The following is a 22,630-nucleotide window of genomic DNA, read 5'->3' as shown; positions in this document are numbered from 1 at the left end:
TGCCTTATATTTTCTTCTTCCCATTGACTCCCAGTGACCTTTTCTAGTTTTCTTCTTTCTCCTTTTATTCTTCTATCAAAATTATACTCTTAACCATGGGAATGGCAGTTTGTATTTAACCTACATACACTTAATTTTTTAAGTGAAAAACAGAAATACGTTTGTTTTCAAAGTGCTTATTTGGTACGAACACTAGATGGCAATGTTTTTGCATTCTGGCTTTAAGATGAGCCAGGCAAACAGACCTTTTACCTGTTAATACTGTCTGTGATATCTAGAGAAATTTGTTAACATATTGGGTCATTTGAATGGAAATAAACTTGCTGAAAAATGTAATTATAAACATGTATGTGTGTATTTACACTTTTATGAAAATGTAAATAAAATTGGCAATGAATTATATTTCGTACCTGGAGGTAAATTGCTTTTTATTAGTTATAATGTGTCTATATGAGATGATCATGTATTATTTTTGTATTCACCTGTTTTAAGAATTTATTTTATAGTGATATGCTATTTTTATAGCTGGATTTACTGACTAAATAATTGTTTAAACTTATTTTGTGTATAAATTGATCATGTATGATATAGACATTCAGAATTCTCCTGAAGCAAAAGTTTATTTCCATTGTATTTCAAATCTAATCTATTCTATAATGAAGTTATAAAAATAGTAACTCAAGGACTCTTTAAAGTTTATTAAAATTCCAATTGAGAATAATAAATTTATAATAGTACTAGCAGCAATATTGTATTGTAGTTGGCATTATTCTGAATTTCTTCATTCTCTATTGAATTTTAAATAAAATTCTATTCATTAGTCTCACAAGTAAGTGAAGAGAATAGTAGCACATTTAACATTTTATGTTAATGTTCAGATTTATTGAACTTAAATATGACTTTAAATTTTTTTTTAGATTATTATTTTAGTCTTACCTGGTTTTTACCTTTAGTACAATTTTGCAGTCATTATCTTGGGTCATTTTTAAAATTTTCATTCCAGTAAGATAAATGTAGCCCTTCTATGTATGCCTGAACTTCATGGGTGACAAAGCATTAATTCTGGTATTTCATTCTTTTCTCCTTTCCTTTCTGCTCTCATCATAAGATAGAATGGAATACATGCAGTAAATGGGTAAAGTTTATAGGTATTCTTTCTAAATTTTTAATTTGATCAGTTATGATTTTGAAGACCATTTGTCAGCTTTTAAAGAAATAGTATTGTCTTTTTTTCCAGAAATATATTAAAGCCAAGTTATGCTTTTTAATTCTTTTTTTCTTAAAAGAAAAAAATATGGGAATTTCCGAATTATCTGTTTCATTCTTTTTATAGTTCTATGTCTCCTCTTACTCATTCTTACCTCCCCTACCCAAATACTCTTGTAGTTAGGTCAGAGCAATAGGAGTACAGTTCTTTAAGATTATCAGAGATACCACTTATTTTAAAATCTCAAAGCCATATTGCTTTATTTTTTTCCCAGAGAATAAAATTGCTGGAGAGTTTATTTCTAAAATCATTGGTATAGGTTTCTAAAGTGACTTGTAAAAGGAATATGTTTTAATTTTCATTGATCTGCTTCGATCAATTTGCATTTTGGAAAATAATTTTTGAAAGTAGTTTACTATAATTCTGCCATTTAAAAGGTTTTATTTTAATAATATTACTATATTATAAAATAATGTATTCTGAATTAATACCAAGAAACAGCTGAAAGATTAGAAAAGGAGCATAGTTCTTTTTAAAAAATAGTTCTGTGTACCATATTGACAAGTTGGATTTTTCCATAATTAATACCTAATTTCTGAGTGGTTTCATACTTAGTTGTACATAATAAAAAATTTAGAGTGTTTTTGCAAATTTATTTTCATTTATAAGAACATAAACATTTTGTAGCATAGTTTAATATACAAATATATACCTTTTCTGTTTGTACCTTCTCTGCTTATGAACTCATGTCATGATACTATGGATACACTTGGAGTTATTTGTTACATCGATTTAACTTATTGGTCATGAATCAACAATCGTTTCTTACGGAGGTTTTATTTATTGTAATAGCATTTAGACAACCTTACTACTCATTTAGGTGTTGTTTTATAAGATATGTAGGATATATCCAAACCAATTGTTTTTCTCAAATGAATTTATCATCAGTCAGAAAGCAGAATGATAATTTAGTTGTTTCATCTATGAAAATTTTTTTTTTAGCAAATACTTCATCTGTAATTCACCATAGCTGTAGGAAGATGTTTTTGCTATACTGTACTTGTTAAGGTAGCTAACGTTTTATTACACCAAAAATAGATTTTGGCATATTTCTTCAAATACAGGTAGATATGTGGTAAATTTATATAGTTTTCAGTTTTCTAAAGAGGAGACGTTGTTAATTTTTATTTAATTCTAAAACGTTTATAAATAAAAATATTTTAATCTAATTCACATTTCAAGTTCAAAGTCAGTGTTTATTTTTTTTCCATGGTTGGAATTAAATTTATCTTTCTCTGCTTAAAATTTCATTTAACAAATATTTACTAAGTGTCTACTATGTTTCAGGCATTGTCTTGGATAAAGAGAATACAGAAATGAAGATGTGTCTGTGGATTCCACAGCCCTTCATTTGTGCTGGTGCAGCCACCAGATTCTATTTTATATGTTTAGAGTTAATGGTGTATATATGTATTTACTGTGAAGACATATATGTGCTGAAGGAACTAATACTTAAATACTTAAAGTGAATACTAATAAGTACTTAAAGTGAATAAATAAGAGTTTTTTACTTAAGTAGTTCTTAATATTTTATAACTTAGATATTTAAGTGTTTTCTACTGAGTCATAACAAACCTGTTTGTTGAATATTTCCTTCTGACATGCCTTGAACTTAGTGTTTGAAGCAATGATTGATATTTATAACTAAATTTTGTTAATACCCAATTAAATTTAGTTATGACATTGGTGTCAGACAATCTCAAGACTTGGAACTTAAGTTATGGAGAAGTAATCAGTATATTGTATATGGCCTAGTATATACAGTCTGAGTGGCTTTTCTTAAAAAGTTACATGGCTATATTTGAAATACTTCATAATGGAAAATTATACTCATGTCCTTTTTTAATATACATTATTTCAAACTGCTTTTATAGATTTTTAACCAAAAGCACTTTAAATAAATTTTATGAAGACTTTATGATAAAATTTCTTTACCTTAAAAGTTAATTTGCATATTACATAATATTTATATTTCTACAAAAAGTAGCTACATTCATTAAACGCTAGTCAGATAACACTAGAAATCTAGTAGATAAAAATATCTAATCCATTTATTGATCAGGTAACAATTTGAATTTTGTAGACATAAAGAGTAACATCCTAAAATCTAGCTGTAAGATATTTATATAAATTGATTTGAGTGTGGGCATTATCTTTATAGACATTAAACTTGGTGACTAAAAGGGACAGTTTTCCTTAAAATTCCATGGATACTAAATTATTAGAAACGTGAAGAGCTCTTCCTTTGCAATTTCTCTGCATTTCATTTGTCCTGTGCCAGCATTCCAGTGTTTCTGTAATATTTGACTGTAATGCTTGATGCTATTAAGGTAAGTTATGTAAATCATAGAAAATAGCTTGAATGCTAACATTTCCTAATAATCTTACTATGTTTTTTTCTTAACAACAACTGAGATTGTGAGACATTGCATTCCAAGATGGTAAAGGAGCCTTACTTAATGCCTACTTCGCTGATGAAGAGGTCAGCAGGGATGCTATTTAATAGAGGCCGGCTCTTTTCTAGATTCTAAGAGCATCACCGCCATGATGCTCAGTCTCCACTGGTGCAGTAAATGAGATTCTCAAATCTCCTACTACCCCTGGTGTGGACATATTACTGTTCTGCCATCAGACCACTCTGCAGTAGATACCTACTTCAGGAGATTTTTTAAAAAACTGCTTTGGGATGTTTCATGTTTGCAAAGAGTAAAGTTAACCTATGATTTTTACTAGCTGTACTACTGTTGTAAGGAATACCAGTATTAATTATTACCAAGGATACTAAAAAGCACAGCATATTTTATTTTACTGCGCAGGGATAAAAGATTGTTTTTCTTGTTCTCATATGTAAAAGAACAGTGTTTTCCCCTGCTATTTTCTTATCTTCTCTAAATCTGCCATTAAATTTCTTAGTGTAATCACTTTGCCTTTGTGAATGTATAATTGCAGCAGTGGGCATTTTTACTGAACTCTAGAAAAATGAAACCAGTGCCTAAGGGTGACATATAAAAAACTGCCTAAGGGATTTAAAAAATTGCATAAATTATGCTTTCTACTTTTGTATAAAATAATACATTGGTACTTTATTTTTGTGGGCAATATTTTATAACTACCTTTCTCAAAGATTAGTGTTACTTCCAATAAGTTTACTAAATGTATATCCTTTATTCACATTTTTGGGGGAAATATATTAAACCCCAATAAATTTTATTTAACTTGGCAGATTTTTAGCTGACAACACACAAAAAAGTTTGTATGGATATGTGCTTGCAAATGCATGTTTAAGAGATTCCATACTACTAATATATAGTGACTATATAGGCAAATTTGTGCATTAGATAGAACTTAATGACTAGATTGTTTAAATGAGAAGAGTTTTAATAAGAACAGATAGGAGATAAATGATTTAGAAAAAAATCTTCGTTGTGGAAATGTGTGGTACATTTAAAAATACTTCTGGCTGGGCATGATGGGTCATGCCTGTAATCCCAGCGCTTTGAGAGACTGGGGTAGGAGGATCATTTGCACCCAGGAGTTCGAGACCTGCCTGGGCAACATAGTGAGACCCTGTATCTACAATAAATAAATTAGCTGCGTGTGGTGGTGCGTGATTGTAATCCCAGCCACTCTGAAGGCTGAGGTGGGAGGATCACTTGAGTCAGGAGGTCAAGACTACAGTGGGCTGTGATTGTACCACTGCACTCCAGCCTGGGTGACAGAGCAAGACTCCATCCCCCCAAAAAACAAAATCTATAAAAGATGATTAAAAGACATGTTGGTGCTTAAAGAGGGTTTCCAGTAAGAAATTGTCTTGATTCCTTGTCAGCACACAATGAATTGGAGATTTTTGAAGGAGACTGGCCACACCTGCCCATCTATAGACATACAGCAGTAGCTGGTGCTTCAGAGAAGACTCTTTATCTTTTCTCCTAGATGAAAAATTAGGGTTCTTAGGCCCAGGTAGCCTTTAGAACCTGAATGCTCCCTCACCTTTGGTCACTCTGAATGGTGGTGGTTAATTGAATTCTTAGAATCAAAAGTAATCATGCCTCCTCCATAGTTAACAAGAAAGGGAACTAGATTTACCCAGAGCTGTCTTATCTACTCCCTTGGCGCTAGTGCTCTGTGTATGTTGGTGGCTTTTGAAATACATATTTCTAGTTCTTATTCTCTAGCTCTCCATCCAAATTGCCAGCTGAACCTGAACTGTACCTGGATGACCCATATATGTCAGACACTGGTGTGCCCCAAACCAAATCATTCCCTAAATCTTTCCCTGGGTTTTCAGCCTTACCTAGATTTCAAAACTAATCATTTATTAATTCATCCATTACTAAGCACCTGCCATGTAGTATACGCGTTATTAGATGCTAGAAAAACAAAGATAATATAGTTTCTAGTTTTTAGTTTAGCTAAATGGAGAAATTATCTCTGAACCGTCTCATTTTCTCTCCTTCATTTACTTGGTCAAGTCTAGTCTATTTTTCCTAAATACAAATGTCTCTTAAACATTCTCCTTTTTTTCCACCCTCACTGACATTACCTTAAATCAGTAGCTTCCTTATTAGGCAGTTGCACCAGCTTTCTATCTGGTCTCCTTGTCACTAGGCACTTGCTGGTTCATCATCCATACGGTCATCAGCATAAATCTTGAAAAATAAATTTGGTCTTTCTTTTCTGGTTATACTTTTTTTTGATGAGTTACATTATTTACAGAACCAAGTCTACATTCAATAGCATTTATTGCAAGGTCCTTCATAATCTGGCCCCAATTTCTACCACTTCCTTCATTCACCATATATACCATTCACAATAAGCTGTTTCCTCTCTGAAAACACACTAATTTTAAATGTTTTTATATTGTTGCATGTACTTTCCCCTTACAACTATCGAGCTCTCTTTTTACGCATCATGGTCCATCTCCCAAATGTCATTTCTCAGTGAATCTGCACTTTGCCTCCCTCCCTTTTAGTTCATTTTCTTCTCTATAGTCAGATAATTATGTTTATGCATATTATAATACTAACATAGCACTCATTTTATGTCATTACCATTTTATGTGTTTGTCTCCAACTACCCTGATGTTTGAGGGCATAGACGTTGTCTGTTCATTTTTGTATCTCTTGCACAATGCCATCCATGAACATGAGAGTCATTGATTGAATGATCTCCCATTCTCCTAACAGGCATTTATGGTCTTCATGGTTGCTAAAGATTTGCAGGCAGTTTGCATGCTAAAAAGTTCCAGAGATTAGAGGCTTTATCTTCAGTTGCTCTGTGTATAAACATACATGCTACTTTTTGTTTATCTGAGCATATTTGAAGACTAGCAAACCACTCTCCTTTTTTTTTTTTTGAAATGAAAATTTATGGTAGTGATTTAAAGTTGAACTGCTTTGATGATATTTGCCTATTTCTGCCATGTGCTGCATTTACCACCTCTGCTTTGTGTGTGTAAAAATGTCAGTTGAACTCTCAATATATGCCATGAACCGTCAAGTCTCCTGAATTCAGATCAAATGTGGTGCTTGTTGGGTTGTGTGGAACTCATACACTGAAATTTCATTTGTTAAGTTCATTTATTTAAATAATTTAATATGTTTCAGATTGTGAAGCTCCTCCAGGACAAGCAGGATAGGATATTTCTTAAGTCAATGGACATATAACAACCTATGAACGTATAAAAATAATGAGCATGTTAAAAATTAATTACAGTTGTAAATTGATTTTCTTTTGTTGGCAGAAATAACAGTTTATTAGCCGAGAAACAGGTTCACACTGTTTTTACATCAAGCATTTCCAGCTGAAGCTTGTTAGTAGCTGCCTCTCAGATTAAGGAAAAAAAAATCCTCACTGTGGTACATGAACTCCTATTGTTACAACATAAATAATCAGCTCATCCCCTACACAGATGAGAACAAAGGACATAACAGTACACAGAGCAAAGATTAAACAAATATTGTATAACCCCATTTAGGATGTAAATCTAAAAATATTGTACACAGAAAGAGATTTTTGTTTTTTTATTTTTCTTTGTGAATTCCTCAGTCATAACGTAGGACCTAGTCAAAGGAAAAGGAATATATACTGTGGCTTTTGAGTCAGATAGATTGATTATTTTAAGCTAAGGTGAAATAAAATATGTTAAGCAGTGTCAGAATGCTGCTGATGTATGAAAGCTAGGGAAGTACTATTCTCTTTGATAACAGGATGCCTCAGATTTTTAGGGGATTTGTTTAAACTGAGGAGGACAAAAAAATAACAATTTTTATTTTGAGGAAAAACATCAGTGGAAAACATGACTAAAAATTTAGTAGTAAAACCACTGACTTTTAATACAGTTTTTTAAAAACAAAAACAAAACTTTGTTCTGTATTTTCTAACATGAAATCTGAATCCTGACTTTGAAAAAGAGAACCTACTCCCTAGGCTACTTTTTTATTCATTTGAGTTTTATTCATTTGACTTTGAGCTTGACAAAACGGACAAGAAAAGCAGCTGTGGAAAGCAGTATATAATCCCCTAAAATCTGAACATTACTGACAATAGAATATATCTTCATAGGGTGTAGAAACCCAGAAGGGGAGTTATAATTTTCCCACAATTTTTATATTTACCTACATAATTAAGATGACTTTACCTGGAAATGATTCTAGTGTTTCAGAAAAAGACCTTTTCATTACCCTTTCTTTTAATGTATTTTAATATTTTATGAGTTGTAGTTGTGAATGTTTCTGTAAATGACCTTTAATCCACAAATGTGTAAGAAACTGCTTTGGGATACCATCTTCAATATCATCTAATAATTTCTGGATTTAAGAAATCATGCTTTCCCCCAACCTTAAATTTACTTTTTTTTTTTTTTTTTGAGACGGAGTCTTACTCTGTCGCCCAGGTGGGAGTGCAGTGGCACAGTCTCTGCTCACTGCAACCTCTGCCTCCCAGATTCAAGCGATTCTCCTGCCTCAGCCTCCCAAATAGCTGGGGCTACAGGCATGCGCCACCACACCCAGCTAATTTTTGTATCTTTAATAGACCTGGGGTTTCACCATGTTGGCCAGGCTGGTCTTGAACTCCTGACCTCAAGTGATCTGCCTGCCTCGGCCTCCCCAAGTGCGGGGGTTACAGGTGTGAGCCAACATTGGCCAATATTTACCTTTTAAAAATTAAACCTTAAAAACAGCAATTTAATGTCTAATGTAATATATAATCTGACTTATGAAAAATTAACCTGTCATTAGGTTAAATCAATTCCACATTAATGTTTTACTTTTGTGACATCAAACTCATACATCTAACAATTCTGTTCACAGTATTGTTAATTGTTACTTCTCAAGGTTATTCTATATCCCTGTGGCAGGACATTTGCCTGTACTGTATTGAGATACTTCTTTGTCCTTATTGCTACAATTTCATTTAAGGCTTTTTCTCTGTTTTACTTGCATTGCCTGCTCTCCTGGGTTTCTTACTTTTCCAGCATACTAATAGTTATTGCCTTCACTGTAGAATGCAAGGTGGAGTAGTCATTTCCTTCTTCCATAAAGCTTTCCTAATCTCGCCCAACAAAATTATCTCTTTGTATTCTATAGCTCCTTGTTTGGGGTAGTATAAGGAATATGGGCTTTGGATTCAGATAGTATTCAAAGCCAGTGCTGTTCTTAACCACTGTTAACTTCGTGACCTTGAGCAATTTACTCACCTCTCTGAGGTGGTGTCATCGTCTGGAAAAGAGAGATTTATTTATAGTAATCATGGGAGGGTTTTTGTGAGAATTGAGGATGCACAATGTCTGTCACAGAGCCTGGACACAGTAATAAATTCCAGTCCATATGCCACTAATTACCATGGTCATTAATAGTATTAATTAGTTCCTATAGCTATCTTTCCCTGACCCCTGCCCCTCAAGTTTTGTCCATATCCTCTGCTAGAACCTGAGGGAAGGAGTAAATGCCAAAACACATATGTGTCATTCTCAGGAATTTTGAAAGACAGCAGAAAAAAAGATAAAAGCACATAGGCTCATACTGGTGTTCTTTATTCACAGTAGCAGTAGTCTTGGCAAACCATTTTCTAATCATCAACACCCAATGTGAAGTATTATTTTGGCTAAATGTTTTTAATATGTTCAGTATTCTTAAAACAAGTGTTTAATTTAAAATTTGTTGTTACAACTCTGAAATGTTTTCTAGCAAACCTTTAGCACGACATATGTGTTGTATTATTTTTCATTGGGACTTTTGGATTAAATATTTGGAAACGTTCATTTGTGTGGGTGACTGACTAGGGACTGATAATGCCAATTGTCCTTTTATGATGTCTCTTTCATCATCTATTAAGTGAAGTATTGATCTCCAAAGTTTCAAGTCCTGATGGGCAAGCTCAGAATTTTACTGTGCAATTATTTTTATGTTGAAAAATTTATTTTTAATAAATTTGAAGTGCAGTTGGCTTTTATAGCCCCAAAACAAACAAATAAAAACAGAACTTTTATCATTCAAAAATATATAAAGTAAGAATTTGGAAAAATAGAACACTCCGGTTGGGATTTATATAGCAATACTTTTGCTATAATCTTCCTTTGCTGTAGAGGAAGTAATAAGTTTTACTAGTCACAGGTTTGTGGCAAATTTGTAAGGACCTTTATGGACTCACAGCATGAAACCAGTAGCTACAAATCCTCCTTGAGTCTGAGCCCCAAGTCATAACTAATCATCTGCCTTTAAGTAGGAGAGATTTAAAAATCTTTACAAATAAGGGTTAAAAAGTGTTTTTATTTTTACAAGTAGATTTTTTTAGCTTCATAGCTACTTAAAACATTTTGAGATAACATTTATTCTGACAGTTTACAAGGTATTTCTCAAAGCCCTCTATATTTTGAGTACGTTATCAGTGTTTTATTTTTTAATTAAGCTTTTTTGAGGTAATTATAGATTCACACACAGTTGTAAAACATAATGTGTATTCTCTCTTCCTGTGTGTCCTTTACTGGTTCCCCACAGTGGTATAACATCTGGCAAAGCTATAGTAAAATATCACAACCAGGAAACTGACATTAATGCAATCTACTGATCTCATTCAGATTTCCCTACTTCTATTTGTATTCTTTTGTGTATGTCTATATATATTTGGTTATATGAAATTTTATCCTGTGCATAGTTTTGTTAATTCACCACCACAGTCAAGACCGGTTCCATTATCACAAGGATTCTCCGTGATACTCACTGATGACCATACCTTCCTCTCTTCCTCCCCTTCCCCAATTCCTGTTAACTGGTAATTGCTACCTCTAGAATTTTGTCATTTCAAGAATTTGTTTAAGCATAATCATATAGTATATAACACTTGGGAATTAACTTCTTTGAGTCAGGATAATTCCTCAGATTCATCCAAATTTTTGCATGTATTAATAGTTCATTCATTTTAATTACTGAGGAGTATTCTGTGGTATACATATACCACAGTTTGTTTAACCATTCACCTGTTGAAGGACATCTGGGTTCTTTCCCGTTTTTTGGCTACTACAATTAAAGCTGTTAGGAACATTCATGTACTAGTTTTTATGTGAACATGCAGTTCTCTGGAATAAATGCATAAGTGCAATTGCAGGGTAATACGGTAATTGCCTGCTTAGTTTTATAAGGCGTATATGTTTTACCACTTCAAGTGAAGTGTGGAAACCATACTGCCATTCCTTTTACTTTCTCACTTTTTCAGATACTGTCTTGAGTATCAGAAGGTGTTAAAATGTTTAATCAAATGTGATTTAGAAAACTCATGAGGATATATTCTCTTGTATTTATCCACAAATCTCCTCTTTCCACTGTTCGTTCTTTCACTTTTATTATTTCCTTTTGTTTGAAGAACTTCCTTTTGCTCTTCTTTGAAGGTCATCTGCTAGTGACAGATTCTTCCGTTTTACCTTGTTCGAGCATGTCTTTATTTCCACTTTATTCATGAAGGATAGTTTTGCTAGATATAGAATTGCCAGATCTTTCGTCAGGATTCTTCTTTAATCCAGGGGAGGAATGAGCCTACCTGGGTAGCCTTTTGCCGCTCAGTTGTGGATTGGAAAGTGCTGGGCTTGGTTCACCTTTCGCTCTTGGGTGGGGAATTCTAAGACTCGCACCCTCTATATTGTTTCTGTAGCCCTAGGGTCCCTAAGCAGCCCACCTACCTCTTTCTACCTTTCAGAGTCCTCTTTTGGTCGCCTCTTATATTATTTCCAGGATTTATAGTTGTACTTAGCAGGGAAGAATAACAAATATGAATCTATGCATCCTGTCTGGGTGGGAAGTTCTTCTGTATTTATCTTTTTTTTCTAACCCTCTGTCTAGGCTCTTTGTTAGTGTTTGTTCCTGAAATGTGTTCCTTGGTAATTCAAAGCTCAATTGAATGAGAAGCCTTCTGTAAATTAGTGCTAAAAAAAGATTACAGAATGTTTTACCATTATTATTTAGAGAGCTTTTTTTTCCAACAGAGATTAAATCCTTCTAAGTCATTAATTTATTTACTGCAAAATATTTCAATTTATTATTCCATGCTGGAACTACAGACTTTGTGTAAATCTCCCCCTGCATTTGGGGACCTAACAACAGGAATGACTGTTGTGTATCTCTTTTCTCTAAGTCACAGATGTGTCACTGAATAAGAAGGGTCGAAGTTAATATACTTAGCCATAGAAGACTATGTTAACTCTTTTCTGTGTATCTTCCCATTCATTAAAATTTCAGGCCTACTCTCATTATGGATTTCTACAAGTTTCCAAACTAAGAAGGCTATTTGTCTTATCTTGGTTTTCAGCAATATTTACTGTCCCCCAAAGACCCCTGTATCCCTTGGTTGCCCATCCTGTTCTGTGTCTTTTTCCTGTATAGTAAAGGTCTCAGGCAGTTAGATGGGAAAGGCTCGGCCCCACCTCTCCCTTATTTATGCATATACATGCATGCATGTGAAACTGAGACACCACGATGAATCTGAGTACTCATTGTCTAGAGACTTTTTGTCAGATCCACACTGACCATATCAGACTACATAGGTATTAATACTAGCCTGGAGATCTGAGTTCATATTGTCATGAACATTTAAAGTGGAGCAAGGAAGTAAATAAGTATTTTTTATGATCCTGTTCATTATTTATTTATTTGTGAGACGGTGTCTCGTTCTGTTGCCCAGGGTGGAGTACAGTGGCACGATCTCAGCTCACTGCAATCTCCGCCTCCCAAGTTAAAGCGATTCTCCTGCCTCAGCCTCCAGAATAGCTGGGATTACAGGCACATGCCATCACGACCGGCTAATTTTTTGTATTTTTAGTAAAGACGGGTTTTTGCCCTGTTGGCCAGGCCTGTCTCGAACTCCTGACCTCAGGTAATCTGCCTGCCTCGGCCTCCCAATGTGCTGGGATTACAGGTGTGAGCCACTGCTCCCAGCCTCATTTTTAAATGCACAGTACCTAGAGTAAGTCCTCAAGAGTTTCATGGATATATAGTTGGAAATAAAAATTAGCCAATTTAAGGATTGGATAATAGAAAGGAAGGTGGATATTCTGCTATTTATGCATATATAGAAATAATTTTTAAAGTTTTATATGTATTTTTCCAGTAGTTTTCATTTAGTAAGTTAATAAACTAATACGTTTGAGATTCAAAATGTTGACTCCACTAATTAATCTTTGTGCTTGATTTTGTTTTCAATTTTACTCTAGCAAAATTTTAATAAACTGGGAAAGTACCTTTAAATATTTGGTACATTTGTTCACTCCTTTTTTTATTTTTATTTTTATTTTTGAGACAGAGTCTTGCTCTGTCACCCAGGCTGGAGTGCAGTGGTGCGATCTCAGCTCACTGCAACCTCCACCCCCTGGGTTCAAGCAATTCTCATGCCTCAACCTCCCAAGTAGCTGGGATTACAGGCACGTGCCACCATGCCCAGCTAACTTTTGTATTTTTAGCAGAGACGGGGTTTCACCATGTTGGCCAGGCTGATCTGAAACTCCTGGCCTCAAGTGATCTACCTGTCTCTGCCTCCCAAAGTGCTGGGATTACAGGTGTGAGCCACCGCACCCGGCCTGTTCACTGCTTTATGTAATAGATATTCTTCTGAATATCTATTATTTGTATATTTGTGTACAATTTATATATATGAATATTTTTATGTTGAGTTTTTCAGTGATTTTCACATGATAAAGTCAACAAATGACTGAAATGAGTTTTTTTAATGTGAAAAATCACATTCTAATTTAATTGCTTTTTTTAGGTTTAGTTCTTTTAATGTATTAGCTTTTCCTAAATCATCCCTACCCCTAAAAAAATTGATCAATCATCTTATTAATATTTTGGAAGTTCCTTTTAGCTGCTGCATCTTCAGCTGAAGTGATATTATATTCTTTGCACAATTTACATGATTAATTTAGCCGGGGAATCTTGGTAGAACTGAAAGTGACTTCAAGGGCTTGTTTGTTCCAACTTTCTGCCTTTGGACATTTGTTACAACTAATGTGCTAAAAGTAAAAAACTGTAAGGCATCTGAAAATATTCTTGAGACCCTAACTTAACTATATTAAAGACAGATTTTGTGTTTTTCTATGAAAAAATTGTGGAAAAAGTAATTTAGCATACAATTTCGATTAAAGAATCTAAATATGTGAGTGTTCGAATTAACAGGAAAGTATCAGTTATGAGAAATATTATAAGGAAATGTCAGTGGCAAAGTACAGGGTAATTAATGTTTTCTTCTGTATTAAAAAAAAAGTACTAAGGGGAACTGCCTTTAATAATAGAGTTCAATGCATGATTTTTCAAATAGCTATTACTAACCTATTTTAGCAAACGAATCCCTTACAGAAAAATAGAAAGGGTTGAAGTTAATATACTTAGCAATAAAAGACTATGTTCACTCTTCACTACATATCTTCCCATTCATTAAAATTTCAGGCCTACTGTCATTATAGATTTCTACCTGTTTCCACACTGGGAAGGCTATTGAATTTGTCTTGTCTTGGGTTTTAGCAGTACTTACTCTCCCACGAAGACTCCTGGATCCCTTGGCTGTCCATCCTTTCTGTGTCTCTTCTTTTCATAGTAAAGGTGTCAAACAATTAATCTTTTAAGAGATACGAGCTCAGGGCCTGCATTTTATCATTATTAAGTGAACCTTTCTTTAAACCTCATTTCATGTCTGTTTTGTCTGATGTTTAACATATTTTCATCATTGTTCGTTTTATTAGAATTTGTGTGACATATCTCAATTTTGTCTTTGACCTTTAACTTTCACATGTGCTTCCATTTTATATGTATCTCTTTTAAACAAAATGCAGTTTGATTTTTTCAGTCTTTTTATTTTATTTGAAGCATTTCATTTACTTTTAATACAATTGTTAATATAATTTTGTTTCTATTATCTTGTTTATGCCATTTGATTTACCTGATTTTTTTTCTCCCATTCTGTAGATTGCCTTGTCATTTTATTGGTTGTTTCCTTTGCTGTGAAGAAGCTGTTGAGTTTGATGTAGTCTCATTTGTTTATTTTTGCTTTTGTTTCCTGTGCTTTTGGCAGCCTATCCAAAAAAATCATTGCCAAAACTAATATCAGGGAGTTTTTTTCCCTACGTTTACTTTTAGGAATTTTATTGTTTCATGTCTTACATTTAAGTCGTTAGTCCATTTGAATTAATTTTTGTGTATGGTGTAAGATGAGAGTTCAGTTTTATTTTTTGTGCATGTGGATATCCAATATTTCCAGTACCATTTATTGAAGAGACTATCCTTTTCCCATTGTGTATTTTTGGTACCCTTGTCAAAGATTAGTTGACCTTATATGTGTGGTTTTATTTCTGGACTTTCTGTTCTGTGGATCTGTGTGTCTGTTTTTATGCCATTACCATACTGTTTTGATTACTGTAGTTTTGTATTAATAATATACTTTGAAATAAGGAATTGTGATACCTCTAGCTGTGAAAAATGCCATTGGAATTTTGATGGGGATTGCATTGAATCTGTAGATTGCATTGGGTAGTATGGACATTTTAAAAATCATAATTCTTCCAGTCCTTGAACACAGGTATCTTTTCACTTATTTGTGTCGTCTTGAATTTCTTTCATCAGTGTTTTATAGTTGTTAGTGTATAAATAATTCACCTTCTTGATTAAATTTATTCTTACATGTTTTATTCTTTTTGATGCTGTTGTAAGTTAGATTTTTTTAAATTTCGTTTTTTGATAGTTCATTGTAAGTGTATAGACATGTTTGTTGATTTTTGTATTCTGCAACTTTACTGAAAGCATTTATTAGTTCTAACAGCTTTTTGGTGCTCATTTATAGTTATAAATATTTAGAACATCCCTGTGTGGCTGAAAGATTATTATGATGATTTTTGGTTTTGAAAATTGAGGTCCACATTGTTGAACTGACCAGTCTGAAGTCTACTGCTAGCAAGTGGCAAAAGATAGATCTTACTAACTTTAAATGTTTTTTTCTCTTAAACTATGTTCTCTCTCTTCTGAAATCAGAAGATTAAGTGTGGAATCTGAATGGGCCCAGTGGTGAGAGTGGGAATGAGGTAATTGGATGATCTTAATACCTTAAGTGACAGCCAGGCAGCTCCACCTCTACGGTGAATACAAATTTGTAGCATATACCAGATTTCTAAGTTAATGGGCAAAGAGTCCTGTATCTTAGTGCTAGAGGCATACTGCTGGGTTTATTCTGTTGAATGCTCCCTTTATGACTATTTTGCAGATCATCCTAATTCTTTTAGCACACACTCTTTTCAGGCCGGAGTATAATACATCTGTTAGATCTGCACTTTCTTAGCTGTGATCACAGCTTATGCATGTTTTTTAAAAGTTTTGGAGTTGGAGTTAGGAGATTTAATTCCTAGTCAGGTGAGTTTCTGGCACCATCTGGGCATTACCACTTTGATCAAGTTACTAAACATCTTAGTTTTAATGTTGGTTAAATTAACAATTTGAATCTAGCAATCTTCTAATGCAGAGGTCAGCAAACCTTTTCAGTAAAGGGATACATAGTAAATATTTTAGACTTTGCAGGCTAAAAGGCAAAATGTAGGATATTATGTAGATACCTTAATAAGTAAGAGAAAAAAACTCTTGTTGCACCCTACCTCATTTGCCTGGGGTAAGTCATCCCACATGGTGGGCATGCTTTGTGCTCTGTTGTCATCAGCTGGAGACATTCTTGGAATAAAGCAAGAAGGGGCCTGGTGGGCAGAACAGGCAGGGTGGCCACCATGGTCATTTTCACTCTGTCACAGTGACACCCAGGTTCCCATGCACCCTTCTTTCCTCCCAGAGAACCTAGCTGCCTCAACAAATTTCAGAGGATTGCTAGTATGCAGATCACATTCTGTGATCCCCCAGAAACAAAACAAAAAACTGGAAAAACTCTGTAAGTTGGAAATAAAGGAGGACTTCCAAAATAGCAAGAGAGCCGAAAAAGAAATCAAAATGGACATTCGAATTAAAAGGACTATAGAACTACTTACAAGGTAGTGAAAGTAAAAAGAGATAAGAAAATATAATTACAACAAAAGGTAAGAAAGGAATGAGAAAAAGGAAAGGAGGGACAAATAGGTCAATATAACAGTAGAAAGAAAAATTTTAGAAAATCATTAGATATATTAAAAACAAATGGAGTCTATGGTCCTAATGAAAGGTAAAAGTTGTCAGACTGATTATAAAAACAAAATCCCACTATATGTTATTTACATGAGAACTGTTTTAAATTGAGAAAACATCAACCTTGAAAGTAGAATCATGAAAAGTAACAGAAAAAGGCAGAGCACATAAAGGAATGCTAATATAGCTATATTAAGATTAGAAAAAAATACACTGTAAGCTAAGACATTACTGGAGAATAAAAGGGTTATTATAATGAAAAGGTTTGTCAACAAAACGTAATTTTAAATCTGTATGTATGTTACCTAGTAACATAGCTTAAAAACTACAAAGCAGAAAGATTCTATGATAACAAAAGAATTTTAATACCTCTCTCAGTTTTGATCAGGCAGATTTTAAAAATGGTGTATATAAGATTTAACAATACAAATAATGTCTTTGTTACATATGTGTCTTGTGTAATAGACATATATGTAACAAAGCAATAGACATGTAACAAAGAACATAACATTTGCAAAATACATATTCTTTTCAACGCACAATATTTATAAAAGATATTTCAAGGTGTAACCTAATTATTGATACTGAATTAGAAATTAAAGTCTTAGCCTTTTGAATGCAGAGCTTTGTATTTTGATGTATTAATATAAATTGCTTTTCTAGTTGAAATATTTCTTATTTACTGAATATAGGATTTTCTCTACATAAGATACTCTATATGAGATATTTATTATCTGTTCACCCTTTAATTTGTTAGTAAAGTAATCGACTAAATACTGCATGATAATTTTCCCTTTAAAATGGTAATGGGAAATGTAATATAGTAAGATGATCATGGTTTCTTGAATTCTTGCTAAGCCAGTAGATCTGGAATATGGAGAAAGTTACTTAAGATCTCTAAGGCTTATCTATAAAAAAAAGTATAATAATGTCCACCTTGTGGACATGAAGGTAATGAGGAATAACATGAGATAATGTGTATAGAGTACTTAATACCAAGCAAATTACTACTGCTGTTAGTGTTTTTATTATTCATGGGATGTTTACTTAGCATTTGTAAAGTATTAGTCTCAAATTAAGTGAGCATTTTAATTCCTAAGACACATGATTAGGTATTACAGATAGTTTAACTTAAAACTCTTATTCATATTGCCACTGAGCAGTTACAGGTAACTAAGTCTCCAAATTTTATCTTACTGCCATTGCTGACTCTTTTTCCTGCTGGCTTATGGGAGACAAAAATAAGAAATTAGGAGAAGACAATGGGCGCTCAAAGAATTTCAGCTCTTGGATCAGCTTCCTTTCTTAGATTTCAGAGAACTTAATATTTTAGTTGGCCATATGAATGTTAAGTGATTTTGTACTTTGATTTTGACCTATCAAAATACACTTTTGCTTTTACTAATAATCCTTCTGGTGTTTTCCTGAGTACACGATCAGCAATAAGTTTTAAAGCAATGGTTGGGTGCGGGGGCTCACGCCTCTAATCCCAACACTTTGGGAGGCTAGGCAGGTGCATCACTTGAGCCCAGGAGCTCAAGAGCAGCCTGGACAACATGGCAAAACCCCATGTCTACAAAAAATACAAAAAATTAGCTGGGTGTGGTGGCATGTGCCTATAGTACCAGCTACTCAGGAGGCTGCTGTGGGAGGATCACCTGAGTCTGGGGAGGTTGAGGCTGCAGTGAGCCATGATTGCGCCACTGCAATCCAGCATGGATAATGGAGTGAGACCCTGCCTCAGAAAAAAAAAAAGAAAGAAAAGAAGGAAAGAAAGTTTTAAACCAAGACTAAGCCCAGGTCTGAAGGATGTATTTCTTATCTCTCATCTAACCAGCTACCTAACTCTTAAAAAGACCTAAATCCATATTATTGTTTTATACCCAAAGGAGTATAGATTTTATATTCTGAGTTATTTAGATAGATATTCTGTAAAATTTTTAGAGGAGGAATGTGCTTTATTTGCAGCTTTTAAAGGTTTAGCGGTCATGTGTCTGAGTAATGAAACAAAGCTGTCTCTAGTGGAATTCTTAGGGACTGATTGTTTGAATCAGTTGTTGAGCTAGGAATCTTGGTTGGGCTGAGTGCAGTGACTCACACCAGTAATCCCAGTGAAACAGGAAAAGTTCCCTTGTCCCCCTTCCAGGGGTAGTGGCTTGCTTCTTCAGTGTCCCGCTGCTCAAACCTCTAATGGGAGCATGCAGACGGGCAGGTTGTGGGGCTCCAATCTCACGGCCGCATCTAGGGATGAATGCTTACAGCTCCTGAAGCCGCAGTGGGCGTGTTACAGTGTGCTCTTTTAGTTTTGCCATCTATAGGTGGCTTGTGTTAGCTCAATTAGACCCTCTGCCTTATTGGAAGGAGAGAGGGCTTTCTGTATCCTTAGTTCTTGCCTTGCTGTACCGAAAAATCCGATCAAATGTGGGCTTGGAAAATGAGTGCAAGGTTTTATTGAATAGTGGAAGTAGCTCTCAGCAGATGGTTGGGGAGCCCGAAGGAGGATGGAGTGGGAAGGTGGTTTTCCCCTGAAGTCTAGCCGCTCTTGGCCAAACTCTGTGTTGTCCCACCGTAGGTGGCCTGCTGGCATCTGCTGGTGTCTGCCGGTATGTTGCTCTCGATGTCCAGCCGCTTGCTTGTTCTTCTGCCAGTGTATTCCTCTTAACGTCCAGCCACTTGTATCTCTACCTGCTAGGGTCTCGGGGTTTTTATAGGCACAGGATGGGGGCATGGTAGCCAGGGTGGTCTTGGAAAATGTAATATTTAGGCACAAAAACTGAAATGCCAGCCCTTACCTAGGTCTGTGGGCTCAGACTTGGAGTGGAGCACTAGCCAGGGACCATGGCCTTCTCTGCCCAGCACTTCCCTGCCCCCCTCCTGTATCACCGACCCTTTGGGAGGCCAAGGCAGGAGAATCACAAAGCGAGGAGTTCAGGACCAGCCTGGACAACACAGTGAGACCCTGTCTCTACAAAACAATAAAAAATTGTTTTTTTTTTTTTTGTAGGCACATTTAAAAAATGTGCCTGTAGTCCCAGCCACTTGGGAAGACTGAGTTGAGAGGACCACTTGAGCCCAAGAATTTGAAACTCCAGTGAACTGTGATCAAGCCATGCCACTCTAGCCTGGGTAACAGAACGAGACCATATCTCTAAGAAAAAAAAAAAAAACAAAACTAGGACTCTGACAACTAGTCTTGGTTGTTAGACTGGAAAACATATGTACAAATTTGTATTTACAGATTGCAAAGTAGTCATTTTCTTTGCAGACGTTTTTTGTGATTCAGTTATGTATCTTTATCAGACTATAAGATGTTTCAGAAACAAAAGTATTACATAATCTTATTAAAACAGTTTCTTATAAAAATGTTCTCTTTTAGATTACCTCTCTAGTGACCCTTCAGCTGTTAACCCTGGTTGGCCATGACGATCAGCTTGATGGACCAAAATACAAATGCACAGTGTCTCTAGACTTCATCAGAGCTATTGCAAGGTAAAATGTCTTGAATTATGTAATGATATACTAAATATAAAAATTAGTGTTTTCCAAATGTGATGTCATTAGTCATGACATTTAAACATGAAAAAATCATCTATTTAAGTGCCAAGAATGAATAAGCTGTACGATAGAATGAACCTTCTCAAATTTACAAATGATGTAAAACTGGGAGAAATAGCTAATATGTTAGAGGACAAAAATCAAGATTCTGAAAAACCTTAATAGGCTGGAATAAATGATCCCATAGTGGCAAGGTAAGATTTAATGGACAGTTGGCTACAGAAAACTCTCTTGTATTGAAATAAGATGGGAGAGAGCTGGCTTAAGTCCTAAATTTTTTAGCTGACTACAAGGCTTTAAAAATCCTGACTTAGGTAACACTGATAGAAATATAGTGTCTAGGTCAGGGGACATAATCATTCTACTGTGCGTTGTCACAGGCAGATCAAATCTAGTGTGCTGTGCTGTGTTTAGAGTTTTCAGAGAGACAAATGGATACATACTGAAGGGGCACGAGGAGAGTGGTAGAATGAGGAATTGTGTCACATCCCTGACTGAAGGACAGAGTGTGAGAGAAAAGCCTTAGGAAGGACATGTGAACTGTCTTAAGTGTTTCAGGGGCTGTCGTGCAAAATGAATGAAGCTAATTCTGAGTAATTCTAGAATGTTAGAAGTTCTGGGGAAGAAAGTACATTTGTCAAAATGAAAGCTGTCTAAAAATACAAGTTTCCTTACAAAGAGGTGTTCTTAGTGTTATGGAAAATGTTCAAACCATTTATATGAATAAGTGACTTCATCATACGGTTGCAGCTGGATAACAATCTGTCAGGACTGTAATGGAAGAGGTGATGAGTGTGTAGACTGGCAGAGTGAACAGGGCAATCCATAGACAGTGTGTTCCTAATCTTTTTCAATATGAAGATTCCATTTTAGCACCCTTTAAAAATTAGTCATGAAAGTATTTACATATATTTCAAAATTAACAGTATTTAGGCATGAGACATTATTTTGTTCAGCCTAAAACAGTGCTTGATATCAGTATAGATTTGCAAATCTCCTCTGATGATTAATTTTACAGCTTCTTGAGGTTCTGAAGTCCATAGGTTGGCAGCTTCTCCCTGAAGTCTCTTCTGAATTCAAAATGCTCTGAAAAATAAATAAATAATAAATTATTGAATGAATGGCCAGGTGCAGTGGCTCAGACCTGTAATCCCAACAGTTTGGGTGGCTGAGGTGGGAGGATTGCTTGAGGCCAGAAATTCAAGATGAGCCTGGGCAACGTAGTGAGACCCCCGTCTCTATAAAAAATGTTTTTAAGTTCTGTGATAATATGATGCAGGTATTTACCACATTTTTGTGGCATATAGGCTGTAAAACATGAATTCAAGGGTTTTAGTGTTTCATTTTAATAAAACCAGGAAAACTTTTACGCAGAGAAAATTGAGCAGAAACTTATTTTTTAGTGTGTTAAGTATAATCACAAAGCAATTACTTCCTTTAAAAAAGCAATTATATTGGAACTTTATATCTAAGAGCCTCTATCCAAGGCATAAATTTGGAGTGAAGCCTGTTCATTTCAGGGATTTTATTACTCTGAATATGTTAGGTTGTGCCCCAGTATAATCATGTGCAAAACAGAAGTTTGTGGGTTCCTAATATAGTGAATCTCCATTGAATCTGACTTAATTTGACGTTACTTAGTGCAGAGCATCACAGTGATGGATGTTAGACACATCCAGAGACATGCACTTTCATTTACCACCTCAGAAGGAAGCAAGAACTTTAGACCTGGAATCTTGACATAGAACTTGGGGGCTCTGTAACTTTCTTTTGTTTTCTTTACTGTTCCCTACTTCCCATGGGCAATATCCATAGAATAAGCACCCGCTCCTCCCCACACCTGCCCTCTTCCATTCTCTCATCCCTGTGTTTTGTACTTCTTTTCTGCTGACTTTACCTTTCATTCTTTCCCTCCCTCCCATGTGCCTTAGGAATTATTATTCTCCTAATAGTCTTCCTCATTGCCTTAGCTAAAACCTGATTCCTTCTTTGGGATGCTGCTTCCCCTGGACTTACCTCTAGTTGTAGCTATGTATTTTCTCAAACCCTAATCCCTCAGGGTTGGAGGTCATTTCGGTGCCATCCTTCTTGTTGCCACTTCCAGACTGTTACTGCCCCCAACTTCTTATAAAAATGTGGACTTCCTTGAGACTCATGCAATCTGGCTCTATTTCCC

At 34.9% G+C, this 22,630-nt stretch overlaps 1 protein-coding gene across 1 annotated transcript in view; it reads left to right on the top strand.

The window, feature by feature from the left end:
- Positions 1-22,630, top strand: part of ORC5 (origin recognition complex subunit 5) — an 81,673-nt gene that overhangs the window by 50,845 nt on the left and 8,198 nt on the right. Inside the window, exon 13 of the mRNA NM_002553.4 lies at positions 20,276-20,388. Within this exon, the coding sequence (NP_002544.1) occupies positions 20,276-20,388 (113 nt within the window). The remainder of the gene's footprint in view (positions 1-20,275; positions 20,389-22,630) is intronic.

This window comes from Homo sapiens, chromosome 7 (genome assembly GCF_000001405.40).
Source record: "Homo sapiens chromosome 7, GRCh38.p14 Primary Assembly".
Lineage (NCBI taxonomy): Eukaryota > Metazoa > Chordata > Mammalia > Primates > Hominidae > Homo > Homo sapiens.
This window is presented reverse-complemented; position numbering and strand designations above follow the sequence as displayed.